The sequence below is a fragment of the Homo sapiens genome, chromosome 1 (assembly GCF_000001405.40).
Source record: "Homo sapiens chromosome 1, GRCh38.p14 Primary Assembly".
Lineage (NCBI taxonomy): Eukaryota > Metazoa > Chordata > Mammalia > Primates > Hominidae > Homo > Homo sapiens.
The window spans coordinates 2,268,633-2,284,321 of NC_000001.11; the positions used below are offsets into that span (position 1 = coordinate 2,268,633).

The 15,689-nt window shown below is 60.9% G+C and overlaps 1 protein-coding gene across 5 annotated transcripts in view, besides 8 other annotated features; it reads left to right on the forward strand.

Moving 5' to 3' along the window:
• The window catches only part of SKI (SKI proto-oncogene), an 81,895-nt gene that overhangs the window by 40,314 nt on the left and 25,892 nt on the right, over positions 1-15,689 (forward strand). The gene's annotated exons all lie outside the window — the stretch shown is intronic.
• Positions 1,818-2,112: a silencer, noted in NCBI's record as "tiled region #2016; K562 Repressive non-DNase unmatched - State 14:Gen5'". NCBI's record gives its function as "represses a minimal TATA promoter and a strong SV40 promoter by Sharpr-MPRA in K562 cells {active_cell/tissue: K562}" and the evidence as "EXISTENCE:reporter gene assay evidence [ECO:0000049][PMID:27701403]".
• Positions 2,824-3,786: an enhancer, noted in NCBI's record as "H3K27ac-H3K4me1 hESC enhancer chr1:2202895-2203857 (GRCh37/hg19 assembly coordinates)". NCBI's record gives its function as "activates a minimal SCP1, AML or CMV promoter by ChIP-STARR-seq in naive H9 embryonic stem cells {active_cell/tissue: H9 hESC(naive)}" and the evidence as "EXISTENCE:reporter gene assay evidence [ECO:0000049][PMID:30033119]".
• Positions 4,749-5,711: an enhancer, noted in NCBI's record as "H3K27ac-H3K4me1 hESC enhancer chr1:2204820-2205782 (GRCh37/hg19 assembly coordinates)". NCBI's record gives its function as "activates a minimal SCP1, AML or CMV promoter by ChIP-STARR-seq in naive H9 embryonic stem cells {active_cell/tissue: H9 hESC(naive)}" and the evidence as "EXISTENCE:reporter gene assay evidence [ECO:0000049][PMID:30033119]".
• Positions 6,675-7,637: an enhancer, noted in NCBI's record as "H3K27ac-H3K4me1 hESC enhancer chr1:2206746-2207708 (GRCh37/hg19 assembly coordinates)". NCBI's record gives its function as "activates a minimal SCP1, AML or CMV promoter by ChIP-STARR-seq in primed H9 embryonic stem cells {active_cell/tissue: H9 hESC(primed)}" and the evidence as "EXISTENCE:reporter gene assay evidence [ECO:0000049][PMID:30033119]".
• Positions 9,610-10,404: an enhancer, noted in NCBI's record as "NANOG-H3K27ac-H3K4me1 hESC enhancer chr1:2209681-2210475 (GRCh37/hg19 assembly coordinates)". NCBI's record gives its function as "activates a minimal SCP1, AML or CMV promoter by ChIP-STARR-seq in primed H9 embryonic stem cells {active_cell/tissue: H9 hESC(primed)}" and the evidence as "EXISTENCE:reporter gene assay evidence [ECO:0000049][PMID:30033119]".
• Positions 10,405-11,199: an enhancer, noted in NCBI's record as "H3K27ac-H3K4me1 hESC enhancer chr1:2210476-2211270 (GRCh37/hg19 assembly coordinates)". NCBI's record gives its function as "activates a minimal SCP1, AML or CMV promoter by ChIP-STARR-seq in primed H9 embryonic stem cells {active_cell/tissue: H9 hESC(primed)}" and the evidence as "EXISTENCE:reporter gene assay evidence [ECO:0000049][PMID:30033119]".
• Positions 11,652-12,851: an enhancer, noted in NCBI's record as "CDK7 strongly-dependent group 2 enhancer chr1:2211723-2212922 (GRCh37/hg19 assembly coordinates)". NCBI's record gives its function as "activates an origin of replication core promoter dependent on BRD2, BRD4, P300/CBP, MED14 and CDK7 cofactors, with strong dependence on CDK7, by STARR-seq in HCT116 cells {active_cell/tissue: HCT116}" and the evidence as "EXISTENCE:reporter gene assay evidence [ECO:0000049][PMID:35650434]".
• Positions 14,550-15,219: an enhancer, noted in NCBI's record as "H3K27ac-H3K4me1 hESC enhancer chr1:2214621-2215290 (GRCh37/hg19 assembly coordinates)". NCBI's record gives its function as "activates a minimal SCP1, AML or CMV promoter by ChIP-STARR-seq in primed H9 embryonic stem cells {active_cell/tissue: H9 hESC(primed)}" and the evidence as "EXISTENCE:reporter gene assay evidence [ECO:0000049][PMID:30033119]".

Here is a 15,689-nt window from a genome sequence, read left to right on the forward strand (position 1 = left end):
GAGTTTCACCCAATTTTCAGCTTTGACGGAGAAATGAGGCTTGGAGTCTTTTTCTGGCCTGTGAGGGCTGCAGAGCAGCGTGCCCAGGGGCTGTAGGTGCAGTCCAGGGAGAGGCCATGACAGGAGTGGGTGTGGGGACTGGTGGGGACAGCGACTGTGCCTTCTGGCCCCACCCAGAGAGCCCCAGCTGCTGTGCTGCCGTATTCTGATTCCTTCTTCCCTCCCTCCCTCCCTTCTGCCTTTCCCCTTTATCCTTTCCCCCCTTCCATGTCCATTTCCCTTTTCCCTCCCTCCCTCTCTTTCCTTCTCTCCTTCTCTCCCTCTTCTTTTTTCGACAGGGTCTGGCTCTGGCTCTGTCACCCAGGCTGGAGTGCAGCAGCACAGTCTTGCGGCCTCAACCTTGTTGGTTCAAGTGATCCTCCCACCTCAGCCTCATGAGTAGCCGAGACTACAGGCACACACCACTACATCTGGCTAACGTTTTATATTTTTTGGGTAGAGATGGGGTCTCGCCATGTTGTCCAGGCTGGTCTAGAACTCCTGGGCTCAAGCGATCCTCCTGCTTCAGCCTCCCAAAGTGTTGGGATGACAGGTGTGAGCCACCGTGCCTGGCCCATGTTTGATTCTCGATGCAGATCCAGCCCTGGGAAGAAAGCACCGCTGGCCATGACTGGGCAGAGCCAGAGAGTGACTAAGGGGCTGTTAGGACAGAGACAGTGGGTTTTGCAGTGATGTGAGCTTTGACGGAAGTGGCCACACTGCAGGCCCCCACAGCGTCACTAGTAGGCCAAGCGGACACTGCGGGACACGTTCCCCAACGTGGGATGTCCGTCCTCAGCAGTCTGTGGCCTTCTGTGAAGCAAAGCCGTTTTGCAGGCTGGGTTCATCCCCGTTCCAGGCCCGCACTAGTGGCGCCTGGTTATCAGGTGTGGTGAGGAGCTTTGCTGCCCTGGAGCGTCGCTTTGTGGGCAGAAGCCAACTTTGGAATCGCCTCATGGCTGGCCCTGGACCTCTCCTCCTTCCTTCCTTGTTGGTTGCTGTTAAGCCAGCCTTGGGCACCAGGGACAGTGGGGACGTGGCTGTGCACCGGGCCCAGGGCTGGCAGGAGGCTGCTTCAGGGCTCTGGACCAGAGCAGTGTGTGGCTGGTGGTACCTGTGGCTGGCGTGGGTCTGGCGGGTCTGGTGGTGCCTGTGGCTGGCGTGGGTCTGGCGGGTCTGGTGGTGCCTGTGGCTGGCGTGGGTCTGGCGGGTCTCGTGGTGCCTGTGGCTGGCGTGGGTCTGGCGGGTCTGGTGGTGCCTGTGGCTGGCGTGGGTCTGGCGGGTCTCGTGGTGCCTGTGGCTGGCGTGGGTCTGGCGGGTCTGGTGGTGCCTGTGGCTGGCGTGGGTCTGGCGGGTCTGGCATGTTTGGTGGTGCCTGCCATCAGGCTGCCGATGGATGAGCCTGCCTGTCCCCCACGGATTGGAGTTTTGCCCAGGGGTGCTGTGCCCTGGTCATTGTCCCCTACAGCCAGGCAGTAAAGTGTGGCCAGCACCTTGCTGCAAGAGAGGGACAGAGGTCATCTGTCTACGAGCTAGAGCAAGGGCAGGTGGGCCCACTGGCTGGCGCTGCGTCTGGGTTCGGTCCTGGACCTGCTGCGTGTTATCCTCCCTGCGGGCCTGGCATGGGAGTAGGGGCTGAGAGATGCTGGTGACACCACTCTGACGCCACGGCCTGAGGCAGCCGTTGGACAGTGCCCATCTTGAATGCAGCCCTGGTGACCTGAAGCCCCTGCGTTGGTCCCTCACAGGCCAGGGGGTGTGGCCACAGGGCCTGGGCTTTGTCCCGTTTACGAGAGGTCAGGCGGTCACAGGGTAATGGGAGGCCTGTGGTTCCTGGGCTGCCATCTGGCGATTGTAAAACGGGCAGTGTGCAGTGTTGAGGGGGCGCTGGGGAAACAAGCTGCCGGCTGAGGAGGCCGCACTCCCCGTGCCTCCCGGGCAGACACCTCACGGCCTTTCTCTGGGTGTCTGAACCCAAGGTGAAAAGTTCAGGCTGTCCCTGCTCTCCAGAGGGGCTGGAGGTGGGGCGGGAGCAGAGACTGGACCTGGCCAGCCCCTCCCGCTTCCCTTCCTCTGGGCCCCTGGACTCTGGGGGCGAGGGCAGGGCTGTTTGGCTGTTGGACATCCTTGCTGTCCCTTTGCTGGACTCTCCAGAGGACCAGCATGGAGGTGCACAAGTTCACATTTGTCCCTCTCCTGCCCCAGGGCACCTGGCCCTGTCCCGGGCCACCCCAGGCTGGACCAGCTGCCCATGTCACCAGGCCAGGCGCTTTCCCTGTGAATGAGCCGATGGCCGCAAGTGCCTGGCCTCAGGCCTGGGCTGTGGGGATGACTGAGGCCCAGTGAGGAGTGGGCTGGGGCCTGGTGTGACCTGCACGGTCTGTGGGGGTTGGAGGGATGCGCGACTTGGGCCCACCCCAGAACTTGGGGTTTCCTGATGGGTGTTGGGGTGCACACAAGCCTGGGCTCCTTTGTGATTGGCGACCCCAGGGTCCCGGGACAGTCCCTGAGAAGCACAGAGGCCTGGACACTCCCACCTCCCAGTCAGGCCCTGCCACATCCTCCCTGATGGCTCCAGGGGCTTTTGTTCACTGAAGAACACTTGCTGTCCTCCCCTCAGAAGAGTCTGCTCGGTGGGGGAGCCGCAGGGGGCTGCTCCCTGTCCAGGCCAGAGAAACCAGGCAGCCTCTCCCGCCGGGAGAGGTCCCCCACAGGAGCCTGTTATGGAGCCGCGTGGCGCCTGGGCTGGTGTCACCCCTGGGAGCCCCCTTTTAAAGAAGACTCATTCAATGTCCCTCTCTCAGACGGCCTCCAGCGTGGCGATTAAGCGCTCAGATGCTGGCAGGTTCCGCGGAGTGCCCGGCTGCCCTCGGCAGGGGCTTTGTGTTGGCTGCCCTGCCCCGGGCTGACCCCAGACGCTCGCCTTTTGTGCTACGCTGCTCTCGCCCCTCGGGAACCTTTGTCCCATTGAGCCCCGCCATTGCCTGGGGCCCCTTGCCTGTCCCTGCGGGCCCGCCCCAGGGCGGGGATTGTGGCCCTGGTCCCCTGGGGGGGGGTAGGGGGCTTTTGGTGGCCTAAGGGGACCCTCTGAGCACTCATGCAGGCCTCCCCCCAACCTCACGTCCAGGTCTGTTGCCGAGGGGCCAGGAGATTCTGACATTGTGCGATGGCCCCAGAGGTTGACATCCTGGGGAGGATTGGCTGGTGATGCTTCCAGAAAGTGGTTTTTGAAGATGCATCTGGTCCTGGCCCGTGGATGGCTGGCGGGACTGGGAGAGACACTCCGGGCCACTGGCTGCTTTCTCGCAGCTGTTCTCCTCTGGGAGGACTTGCCCCTGTGGGCAGGTGCAGGGGCACTGAGCGGAGGGGCTTGGGGGCCCCTGCCCGCCCCAGGCCACCTTGCTCTCTCTCCAGGCCTGCGTCCTGCAAAGAGGCCGGGTCAAAAGGTCACTGCCCCGATTTTTATTGCTGTCTCTTACGTTCTCACGACCTCTTGCCCTCTGCACAGATGGGCGGGGCTGGAGCTTCCACGAGGGCCGGCCTTTCCGGGGATTAAAAACCCACTGAAAGGTCTGAGCCTAGCTACCAAGCTTAAATGTCTTAGTAGCTTAAAAATGGTGTTAAAAATTAAGCAAAACACACATAGACTTCCAGGTTTAGCATAAATAGAAACCAGAGGTGTTGAGACCGTGCTGCCCCCTCAAACCAGCGCAGTGGAAAGAGGGGCAGAGCCCTCCACAGGAGCCCTCCGCTGGGGGGTTGGGGAGACGGCCCTGGCCCAGCGTCTGCAGCTCCCAGCGGCACTGAATGGCAGTGGCCGTCCCTGTGGTCTGGGGGCCTCCTTCCCCCACAGGCTACACAAGCCCTGGTCCTGCCAAGGCTCGGGGAAGCCCTTTGTGACTTTAGAAAAATAATAATGGAGGGTGAACTGGTTCCTATTTTTGCATTGTAATTGATTGCCAAGAACCCCTGAAATTAAATACAACCATGTATTTTAAATGGTGTCCTTAATGTAGAATGTTTTTATCAAAACCAAAACTCCCTGTTGAGGCCTTAGTGTTCTGTCAATAGCGTGTTGGAGTCTGGTTCCCGTCTCCCCTGCCCCGGCCTATGTGTGCTGACCCTGGGACCGGTGAGGCAGTTCTCACCACGCCCCGAGCCTCCCCCTCCCACGCCCCGAGCCTCGCCCTCCCACGCCCCTCCTGCCCCCGAGGCTCGCTGGCGTCTGTGCTTCTTCCAGGCGGAGGGGGAGGTGGTAGGCACCTTGGGTCTTAAATCAGAGAAACTGTCCCAGCAGTAGTAAAAGTCATCAGCTGGCCCCAAAGAGCCCCTGGAAACACAGGCTGTACCCCGCCTCCATGGAGACATTTGGTGCCACCTGCGTTCAGTGCAGATGCCACACGGCTCTTCCTGAGATGGCTTCCGAGGCCATTTGGCCCTTCATCTCGGGAACAGACCAAGGGGGTGTTTTCGGCCGTCTGAGACCCACCTGGGGGTGTCTGGGCCTTGGCCATGCTGCCTTCTCCAAGCCCCATGCTTCTCCCGGCCCCTCCTCCTTCCCACTGGCGCCGGAGACCTTTGGTAGTGGGTGTGGAAAGACAGCAGCTGTGGGGTCCCTGTCCTGGCCGGCCACTCCTCCTTCCCGCCAGTGCCGGAGACCCTCGGAAGTGTATGTGGAAGGACAGCAGCTGTGGGGTCCCTATCCTGGTCAGAGGGTGGCATTCCTCCCACAGTCCTGGGAGCCACAGGGCTGAGATGGGACTTCTCAGCTTGGCATGGGGAGGGCAGGACGGGGTGGCTGCCATGCCTCATTCTGTCTGTGATGGAAACGGGAGGGCCTGGCCCTGCCTCTGTTACTGAGCTTGAGCCAGGGACACCCGTGACCCTGCCTGGGGCGGTCCTCCCCAGCCTTGTGAGCCAGGGCAGAGGTGCAGGTTGGGTGGCTGACCTGGTGGGGGGTAAGAACATCCACGGAGAAGTGTGACGAGTGTGCGACCAGAGTGTGGACCCAGCCAGGAGGCCTGACCGTGACTGCAGCCTCCCCCAGCATTGCACCAAAGTGTGCTCGTGCAGGACCTCGAAGATGCCCCGTGGGCAGCGTTCGGGCTGAGGCTGCAGGGGGCCTTGGGAGCACGGTGGCCCTCCTGTCTGTTCTGTGGACCGGGTGCGGATGGGCCGTGCAGGCAGACGTGCTCTTGGGTGGTTGTGGTGGGGATGCCTCTCCGCCCACCACCCTCTCACTCACTGCCCTGGCTGGAAGGTGACGGCATCTCCCTGACCGGCAGCGCCAGGATGGCAGCCCCACAACAGTGTCCTGGTCGCCCCAGAGGCATGCTGAGCGCCCATGCGTGTGCGCAGGTCCTACGGGCCGTGTCCAGACCCAGCCCCGGGGTCAGGTGACACCTGTAGTTGGGTGAGCGCTCACACAGGCACCTCCAGGTAAGGGGGATTGAGGAAGGTAGCGCTTTGTCAATGGCACTGGTTTTGCTCCGAGGCTGGACTCCTTTTCCCTTTGAGGAGCTCTGCTCATGTGCTTTGCCTGCTTTCCCATGGCAGGCTTTTTATTGGTTAAATAAAGACACAAACTTTTCATCAGTCTTTGCAAATACTTGGTTCCGGCAAGTTCTTGGCCCTTCCCAGGCTTGGGGCTGCCGGCTCACGGTTCTTCTCTCTGCATTTCAGCCAGGCCCCCATATGCTGGGTTTGCAGGTCACGACCACCCATGACGGCTGTGCTGCGTGGGGTGCAGTTCCCCGTGGGCGCCGAGGGTGGTGTGGGGCTGCCTCTCGCTCGCTCCACCAGCCACCCGAGGGCCCGTGTCCTGGTCGTGGCCGCGTGTGCTCTGCTGTGTGGGTGGTCAGTCCTCCCCAGGGGCCACCTGGATGGTGTCCACTCCTGCCCCATGGCAGGAAGTCCCAGCGGCACCTGGCCACGTCCCTCTAACATGTTTCTGGAAGTGGGATTCTAGGCTGGAGCCTCATAGCGGGCAGATACTGCCCCCTGGCCATGAGCCATGACAGTTGGTTGATGGGACTTGAAGGGGCCTCTGGACAGTGTGGCTGCAGCCCTGGACCCTAGGAGAATAGCAGCCGTGATGGGGGGCAGGGACCCCACTTTCTGGGTGGGAGTGAGGAGGGCCGGCTGCTGCCCCTTGCTGCAGTCATCTTCAGTCACTTTCCCGGCCGCCACGGCCCCCTCCTGGCTTCTTGCTCTCAGCAGAGGGGACAAGACCCTTGTGAGGGTGGGCACAGGCACTCCAATTGTTTGGGGCCTTCGCTGTCCCTTGCTGTCTGTGCTGGTCTTTCCAGGCATCCCCAGGCCGTGTGTGTCAGCAGGTGGAGGCTGGGCACCTCTCACCCACCCAAGCTGAAGCGGCCTCACAGGGGGTGGCACCAGGTGTTTCTCCAGCTGAACAAGCTCGCCCTGGAACCCCCACCCTGAAAGGGCTACTGCCCCCATGAGAGGAGCTTCTAGAGATGGTGGCCAGCCTTGGGGGCCCGGTGGAGATGTGTTCGCGGGGTCCTGGTCTGATTCTGTCTTGGAAGGAACATCGGGCCCCTGAGAGGTCAGAGCAGTGGCCGGCCCACGGCTCCGCTCAGGCGCCACGGCGGCTCCTTTCTGTTTCTTGTAGTCACTGAGTTCGAGGTTCCCACAGGGAGGAGGCTTCCTGTGGCTCCGCCGTCAGGGAGCAGTGGGGCTGCCCCAGCCTCTGGGGGCTTTTTAGGTGCTCTGAGGCGATCTGGGTGTGGCCTGGCCGGTGTGGGCAGCTTTGCCCTTCGTCTGAGACCCCGAGCCCTGGGGCAGGATGAGGGGTGTGGGGAGAGTTTGCTTTTTCCAGAGACGTTTATCTGTTTTTTTTTTAGACGGAGTCTCGCTCTGTCGCCCAGGCTGGAGTGCAGTGGCGCGATCTCGGCTCACTGCAAGCTCCGCTCCCGGGTTCACGCCATTCTCCTGCCTCAGCCTCCCAAGTAGCTGGGACTACAGGCGTGTGCCATCACACTCGGCTAATTTTTTGTATTTTTAGTAGAGACGGGGTTTCACCGTGTTAGCCAGGATGCTCTCGATCTCCTGACCTTGTGATCCACCCACCTCGGCCTCCCAAGGTGCTGGGATTACAGGCTGAGCCACCGCACTGGCCAGCGTTTATCTTTAAATGTGCCTTGGACCTGGCCCCTGGCTCTTTGGGAGGGAGAGTCCTTGGCAGGCCCCGTTGCCTCCACCCCACCAGTGCACCTTGGCTCCTGGTCACTGCCCACCCTCCCTGCCCGGGCAGGAATTCTTACAGGCCCTACACTCCTGAAGGGAAATCAGGCTGGTCCTGGGGCAGGCAGCCTCTCAGAGCTGTTGAGAATTGAGCAATCTCCTTGTGCTCTTTCAAGCTGTTCTTTTCTTTGGTTCACACTGAGCAAGGGCTGGTTGCTCCGATAGGGAGAAGACGTGAGGAGTGGCATTTACTGTGATTGAGCACAGGGCCTGTGGACTCTCCCATTCACGCAGCCACATTTCCCAAAAAGAAGTGGTCCTGCTCCCCACCCCCCGACCCCCACTGCAGCGCCACCTGCCTTTATCTGTACTTGGAGGGACAGCGCAGCAGGCTGTGGCTGGCTACCCCAGGTGGCTCCACCCAGCTCTCAGAAGTTCACCTGCTGCACTCAGAGGCCGTTTACTTGAGGTTTGATATTTATCTCCAAAGGAAGGGCTGCCCCGACTGGCCTGGACCCTCCAGGGAGTTCAGCAAGCCGGAAATGCGTGTCTGCTGCTCTCCTGGCCCCTGGGCCACCTGCTTCTGTGGCCCTGGGATTGGGGAGCCAGGGCTGAGGGCCTGTAGGGCCCCCTGTCTGTGCCTCTAGAGGCCCTGAGCCACCTCCTGCAGTGTTTTAGATCCCATAAGCAAGAGACAGAATTGTGCATGGATGGTGAGAAAACATGAAGCTTTTTATTTGTAAACAGAAAATGGCAGGGCTCACTGTGTGGGGCTGGGGACAGCGCTAGGCCTGCTTTAGGCCGTGCACCCCAACCTGGGGTGTTCCACCAAGAGGGGTACAGTGGCCTCCACTGTGAGTATGTGGCCATCCTCTGGCTCCTGATTGCTGAGTTCCTGATTGCTGTCTTTGCGTAACTTAGGAACCCCGATGAAGAGCCCGTGCTCATAGCTCCGTTCCTGACATGTTCAGGAACGCCTCTGTTGAGGTTTTTCTCTTTGGTTCTGGAATTCCTGGGTCCCTTTGACCCCTGATGCGTTTGTTTTGGGTGTTGATGAGCACTGGAGCTGCTTCCCCACAGGGATGGGGCATTGGGGAGATTCCGACACAGCAGGGCCCTCACCCAGGAGGCTGCTGTGGGTGCTGGAGCGGTTGCTTCCATGGAGCTGGGATTCCTCTCATTTGGGGCTGTAGGAAGGGGTCTTTCCTCTCTGTGCTAACAGTTGTTTGTTTAAAAAGAAAGGCTGTTTAAACCTTTCAAACTTAAAACTTCTTTTTTTCTTTGGAGATGGAGTCTCACCCTGTCTCCTCCCAGGTTCAAGTGATTGTCATGCCTCAGCCTCCTGAATAGCTGAGATTACAGGCACATGCTACCATGCCCAGCTAATTTTTGTAGTTTTAGTAGAGACGGTGATATGGTTTGGCTGTGTCCCCACCCAAATCTCAACTTGAATTGTATCTCCAAGAATTTCCATGTGTTGTGGGAGGGACCCAGGGGAGGCAATTGAATCATCGGGCTGGTCTTTTCTGTGCTATTCTCGTGATAGTGAGTAAGTCTCATGCGATCTGATAGGTTTATTAGGGGTTTCTGCTTTTGCTTCCTCCTCATTTTTTCTCTTGCCGCTGCCATGTAAAAAGTGCCTTTCACCACCCGCCATGATTCTGAGGCTTCCCCAGCCATGTGGAACTGTAAGTCCAATTAAACCTCTTTTTGTTCCCAGTTTCGGGTATATCTTCTTCAGCAGCGTGAAAATGGAGTGCACACACACGTCAGCACTGTGGGCGCACACACCTGCACTCACACATTCATCAGGACCCATGGGCACACGTGCACACACACGTCAGTCCTGTGGGTGCACACACCTGCACTCACACATTCATCAGGACCCATGGGCACACGTGCACACACGTCAGCACCGTGAGCGCACACACCTGCACTCACGCACACACCTGCACTCACGCACTCAGGACCGACGGACATACGTGCACACACACATCAGCACCGTGGGCGCACACACCTGCACTCAACGCACTCGTCAGGACCCACGGGCAGATGTACACACATGCACCAGCACCCGTGGACACGTGCACGCACACATCAGCACCCATGGGCATACATGGATGCACACATCAGTACCATGGGCACACACACATGCACCCACTCCCGATGGCTTCGGCTTGCTGGGTGCCTGCTTCGCCCTCGGGTGAGCAAGTCTGGAGGCAGGCACTTGGGGTGGGGCCACAGTATGGTTCTTAGGAGCCCAGTGTCCCCTGGACCCACTTGCTCCCAGCCTTGGGTCCCAAAGTGCTGCTCCCACTGGTCTCTGTGCCCCACCCATCATGGGCAGGGCTGTCTGAACAGGGCAGAGTCACGAGTGATGCAAGGGTGGGGTGTGGAGGCCTTGCCTAGAGGCAGCAGCCAGCTCTGGCTTGGCTGGGCCTTACCTTCACTGTCCTGCTGTGAGACGCAGGAGCCCTGGGGGAGGACGGCAGTCTGTATCAGGGCAGTGGTGAAACTGCAGATTCCTAAATGTGATCTGGAGACGACTCTTGCTGGAGAAATCTACCCAGGTCCCTTGGGTCTGTCCCTCCCTTCACCCTCCACAGTCAGGGACAGGCTGCGTGGTGTGCCTCCCCATCTGTGCGTGGCCTCAGCGCAGCAGGCCTGTCCTGCCCATTGCTAAAGGTAGAGCCCGGCAGATTCATTGTGTGGTGAGGGCTTCCCCAGACCCACCAACTCCTGTGTCTTCCCATGGTGAGAAGGGTGGGGTCTCTCTGGGGCCTTTTTTTTTTTAGGAAGTCACTGATGCCACTCAGGTGGGTGCCCAGCTCCCCACCTGATCTCTGGAGTGGCCCCTTCTGCTGGAGGCTGCCCCAGGCTGGATGCCGTGGCCTGCAGACCCCCCTTCTTGCAGTCCCTGGGCAGGCAGCACCCATGCGCACACGTGCACACAGGCCGTGAGCACTGCCCTGTGAGCCAGGTGGTGGTGGGGGGTGTTGGGGCTAAGGTTTGGTTAGGGCCCGAGTGCTTGCGCACCCCCCCATCCAATTTCCCATGGTGCTGGGATGCTGCCGCCTCCTGGACCCTGGCGTTGAAGTGCCACCTTCATCTCCCTCCCCAGACAGTAAGCTCCAGACAAGGGCAGGCTGTGGCCGTCACTCTGGCCAGCTGCTCGGGGGCTTGGTGGCTGCTGGGTGGTCGCCTGGACTCTGCCCTCCTGTCTCCTGGTGTCCCGGAGGGGCCTTGCTGGGCTGGGCCCTCCACCGCCCCATTGGGCGCCTGACTCTCAGGGCGCAGTCAGTTCTTTGGGGATGGCCCTGATCTCTGAGCGGGACTGCCTCTGGCCTTTCTTCTGCATCCCCTACGGAACAGCAGCCTGCTAGACGCCCTGAGGAGGCAGGCTGAGGGGTGGAAGGGGCGTGGCCGTGCCCAGCAGAGACCACCCTCTGATGACGGTGGGCGTCCTTTCCAGCCCCTCTCGGGGCATCGCTTCATCCCTTCCCCCATTTCCTTCCTGGCCCTGCTCTCCAAGTCTTGTGTGTGTGGTGGGGCCTGGCTTCCCTCCCGGCCTCTCGCCTGTTCCCGCCCATCCCTCTCTGGTTCTCTCAGGCCTCCTCTGGGCTTGCCAGGAATGTAGGGGAATTAGGGGGAGGGGGACACAGGAAATGCCTCCCCTCCTCTGACAACAGCTCCAGCTGCAGGGGGAGGGGGGAGGGGAGAGCAGAGTGGGTGAGACGAGGGAGGGCTGAAGGGGGGAGTCGGCTTGGGGGGAGAGTGTTCTCCTGCCCACCCAGGCACTGGGCGTGGCCCAGCCCCACAGACAGAACAGTTCTTTCTTCCTTATTTTATTTTTTATTAGAGACAGGGTCTCACTCTGTCGCCCAGGCTGGAGTGCAGTCGTGTGATTGGCCTCAAGCGATTCTCCCACCTCAGCCTTCCAAAGCACTGGGATTACAGCAGTGAGCCAGTGTGCCCAGCCTCTTCCTAAGTTTACACCAGTGTGGGCATCCAGTGAGGGGAACTGGCCTGTGATGCGGTGGTCCTTGTGACATGTCAGGCAGTTTTAGAGTAGGGTTTGTTAAAACATGGGTTAAATTGGGCCCCACCCCCAGCCCTCCACTCCTCAGCCATTCAGGAGAAGCGCGAGGCATGGGTGCGCGAAAATTCTGAGTCTGCCTTCCACCTGAACCCCCTCTGGAAGGTCTGACCACGGGCTGGGTGTGGTGGCTCATGCCTGTAATCCCAGCACTTTTGGGAGGCCGAGGCGGGTGGCTAATGAGGTCAGGAGTTAAAGATTAGCCTGGCTGATATGGTGAAACCACGTATCTACTAAAAAAAAAAAAATACAAAAATTAGCCGGCATTGTGGCAGGTGCCTGTAGTCCCCAGCTACTTGGGAGGGCGAGGCAGGAGAATCGCTTGACCCCGGGAGGCGGAGGTTGCAGTGAGCTGAGATGGCACCACTGCACTCCAGCCTGAGTGACAGAGCAAGCGTCTGTCTCAAAAAAAAAAAAAGTCTGACCACAGCCCCTTCTCACAAGGGGGCTGCCCCTTCTACCCTCGTTGGGGAAGGCCTGGTCTGCTGTAAGTGCAGTGACCGGACATTAAAATACCCCGGAATGGTCTTGGAAAGAGCCACTTCTGGGAGTCTTCCCTTACCCGCCACACACCTTTTAAAGAGAAACCTGAAGACACCTGAGAAGACAGGCGGCGGCGGCGATCTTCAGAGAGAAGATGCCCGAGAAGACAGGCGGCGGCGGCGATCTTCAGAGAGAGGACACCCGAGAAGACAGGCGGCGGCGGCGATCTTCAGAGAGAGGACGCCCGAGAAGACAGGCGGCGGCGGCGATCTTCAGAGAGAGAGATGCCCGAGAAGACAGGCGGTGGCGGAGATCTTCAGAGAGAGGACGCCCGAGAAGACAGGCGGTGGCGGAGATCTTCAGAGAGAGGACGCCCGAGAAGACAGGCGGCGGCGGCGATCTTCAGAGAGAGGACGCCCGAGAAGACAGGCGGCGGCGGCGATCTTCAGAGAGAGGACGCCCGAGAAGACAGGCGGCGGCGGCGATCTTCAGAGAGAGGACGCCCGAGAAGACAGGCGGCGGCGGCGATCTTCAGAGAGAGGACGCCCGAGAAGACAGGCGGCGGCGGCGATCTTCAGAGAGAGGACGCCCGAGAAGACAGGCGGCGGCGGCGATCTTCAGAGAGCGGACGCCCGAGAAGACAGGCGGCGGCGGAGATCTTCAGAGAGAGGATGCCCGAGAAGACAGGCGGTGGCGGAGATCTTCAGAGAGAGGACGCCCGAGAGGACAGGCGGTGGCGGAGATCTTCATAGAGAGGACGCCCGAGAAGACAGGCGGTGGCGGAGATCTTCAGAGAGAGAGATGCCCGAGAAGACAGGCGGTGGCGGAGATCTTCAGAGAGAGGACGCCCGAGAAGACAGGCGGTGGCGGAGATCTTCAGAGAGAGAGATGCCCGAGAAGACAGGCGGTGGCGGAGATCTTCAGAGAGAGGACGCCCGAGAAGACAGGCGGTGGCGGAGATCTTCAGAGAGAGGATGCCCGAGAAGACAGGCGGTGGCGGAGATCTTCAGAGAGAGGACGCCCGAGAGGACAGGCGGTGGTGGAGATCTTCAGAGAGAGGACGCCCGAGAGGACAGGCGGTGGTGGAGATCTTCATAGAGAGGACGCCCGAGAGGACAGGCGGTGGCGGAGATCTTCAGAGAGAGGACGCCCGAGAAGACAGGCGGTGGCGGAGATCTTCAGAGAGAGGATGCCCGAGAAGACAGGCGGTGGCGGAGATCTTCAGAGAGAGGACGCCCGAGAGGACAGGCGGTGGTGGAGATCTTCAGAGAGAGGACGCCCGAGAAGACAGGCGGTGGCGGAGATCTTCAGAGAGAGGACGCCCGAGAAGACAGGCGGTGGCGGAGATCTTCAGAGAGAGGACGCCCGAGAGGACAGGCGGTGGTGGAGATCTTCAGAGAGAGGACGCCCGAGAAGACAGGCGGTGGCGGAGATCTTCAGAGAGAGGACGCCCGAGAGGACAGGCGGTGGCGGAGATCTTCAGAGAGAGGACGCCTGAGAAGACAGGCGGTGGCGGAGATCTTCAGAGAGAGGACGCCCGAGAAGACAGGCGGTGGCGGAGATCTTCAGAGAGAGGACGCCCGAGAAGACAGGCGGTGGCGGAGATCTTCAGAGAGAGGACGCCCGAGAAGACAGGCGGTGGCGGAGATCTTCAGAGAGAGAGATGCCCGAGAAGACAGGCGGTGGCGGAGATCTTCAGAGAGAGGACGCCCGAGAAGACAGGCGGTGGCGGAGATCTTCAGAGAGAGGACGCCTGAGAAGACAGGCGGTGGCGGAGATCTTCAGAGAGAGGACGCCCGAGAAGACAGGCGGTGGCGGAGATCTTCAGAGAGAGGACGCCTGAGAAGACAGGCGGTGGCGGAGATCTTCAGAGAGAGGACGCCCGAGAAGACAGGCGGTGGCGGAGATCTTCAGAGAGAGGACGCCCGAGAAGACAGGCGGTGGCGGAGATCTTCAGAGAGAGGATGCCCGAGAAGACAGGCGGTGGCGGAGATCTTCAGAGAGAGGACGCCTGAGAAGACAGGCGGTGGTGGAGATCTTCAGAGAGAGGACGCCTGAGAAGACAGGCAGTGGCGGAGATCTTCAGAAAGAAAGCCCAGAGTTCCATAGTGGGCGGGTGGGCAGTATTTCGGCTTGTGTGGCACCAGGGCAGGGCCTCCGAACCCATGGAAAGCCTTGCTTCCCCCAAGCCCGCTGGCTCCCAGCCCTCCACCCTCATGATAGGGCCTGGGTAGGGGCTGCTGGTCACCCTTTACCCCCACCCAGGAAAAGGTCAGGAGGCTGGGCTCCCCGTCAAGGAGCGGTTTCCAGGGACACCGGCTCTCGGGGGCGCCAGTCCTGTCCTTGGCGCCCAGCACATGCTACTAGTGACATTCGCAAGGGTGGGTCTGGTTCTCAGCCTCCGACCTGTCACCCCGGTGTGGGCCCAGTGACCTCAGTGAGCTCCTCCTGTGCCCTAAGCTGAGCCACTGTGTACACTGAAGAGGAGGCTGGGGTCCTGTGTGCACCTGGCCCGCTTCCCTTGCCGGTGCTGGGAGACGGGAGCCAGTCTCGGACCCTCATCTGCCAGCAGCTCCTGTGGCTGTGGGGGCGCAGGCATCTTGGCTGACTAGGGAGGATCCCGTGGGAATGACCCCACGCCATGGCCAGGGAGGCGCCCCCACCCGGCCCAACCGCCTTTGTCGGGGATCCTGAGAGGCTTTGTGCGGAGGCTGGGTCCCAGGCTGGGTTCCGAGGGTGCCGGTGCGCCCCTCCTATGGGTGAGGCTGTCTGCTTACAGTTGAACACTTCTCCCCACTTCTGCGCCAGGCCTCACTCAGTCTCCCCAGCACGGAGCTCTTGTTGCTGGCCCAGGGCCTGTCCAGGTCCTTTGACAGGGCAAGGACTCAGAGCCTCAGGGGGGGGAGGGCAGGGCCTCCTGAGGAGTATGTCTCTGTGAAAATGGGGGTGAGGAGGTGGCAAGCATCGCCTTTTGAGGACAGAGTCTTGGAGAGGTGTTGGCTTTCTAGGGAGGGCCCTGTGATTCTCCTGCAACCATGTGGGCCGGGGCCAGGACCAAAGCCATCGTGCTGTCGCTGTGGATTTGGTGGCCGCTTCCCCTGCTCAGATGTTGTACTGCAGGCCTGGGCCTTGGCTTGGGGTCTCTGTGTCTCCATGTTCAGGACAGGCTTGTGGCTTTGGGTACCACGAGGGGCCATCCAGCCCAGGGGGCTTCAGGGAGCTGCCCCTCAAGTGCATGTGGGGTGCTGGGGTGCAGCCCTGCTGCCCATGGCCCGGAAGTCCAGGCAGCACTGCTCTGGTTCGAAGCTGCCCCAAGGGTACGGGAGGCCCGTCCACTAGAACTGAGGCCTGGCACCATGTTGTGTCGGTTTTCATGGCGAGAAAACATCGTGGGCGTCTGCTGGGGCTGGAGGAGGCGGGAGGCCGAGGCAGCAAAGCTGACCCGCTGGCGGGTGGGGGCCACTGTGGCGTCCCCTTCCTGCAGGAGGCGGGGAGGTGCTTGTTTCCCTCCAGAGCTGCTGTCTGCCCGCAGCTAGTGCCCTGTTAGCAGGTGCAGTGCCCGTGCCATCTTCTCCCCAGACCCAGACCCTCCCCAACTCATGGAGACCCTGTCCTCCGGGCCATCCCCCGTCCATGAATGCCCGGGGCTTGGGGTCCATCTCCTGTCCACATGGACCTCCCCTCTTGGGTGTCACAGCTGCATCAGAGGCCCCAGAGGCCGGCCCTGGGGGGCTCTGGCCCCAACACAGCGTCCTCCCCGTTCCACTGGCCGGGGCTCCCTCAGGTTGCTGCCCTGCCTCTAGATCCCTGATCCCTGGACCCATGCTGCCGAGACGTCCTGGTAGGGTTGAGTTCCCTCCTCTCCCAC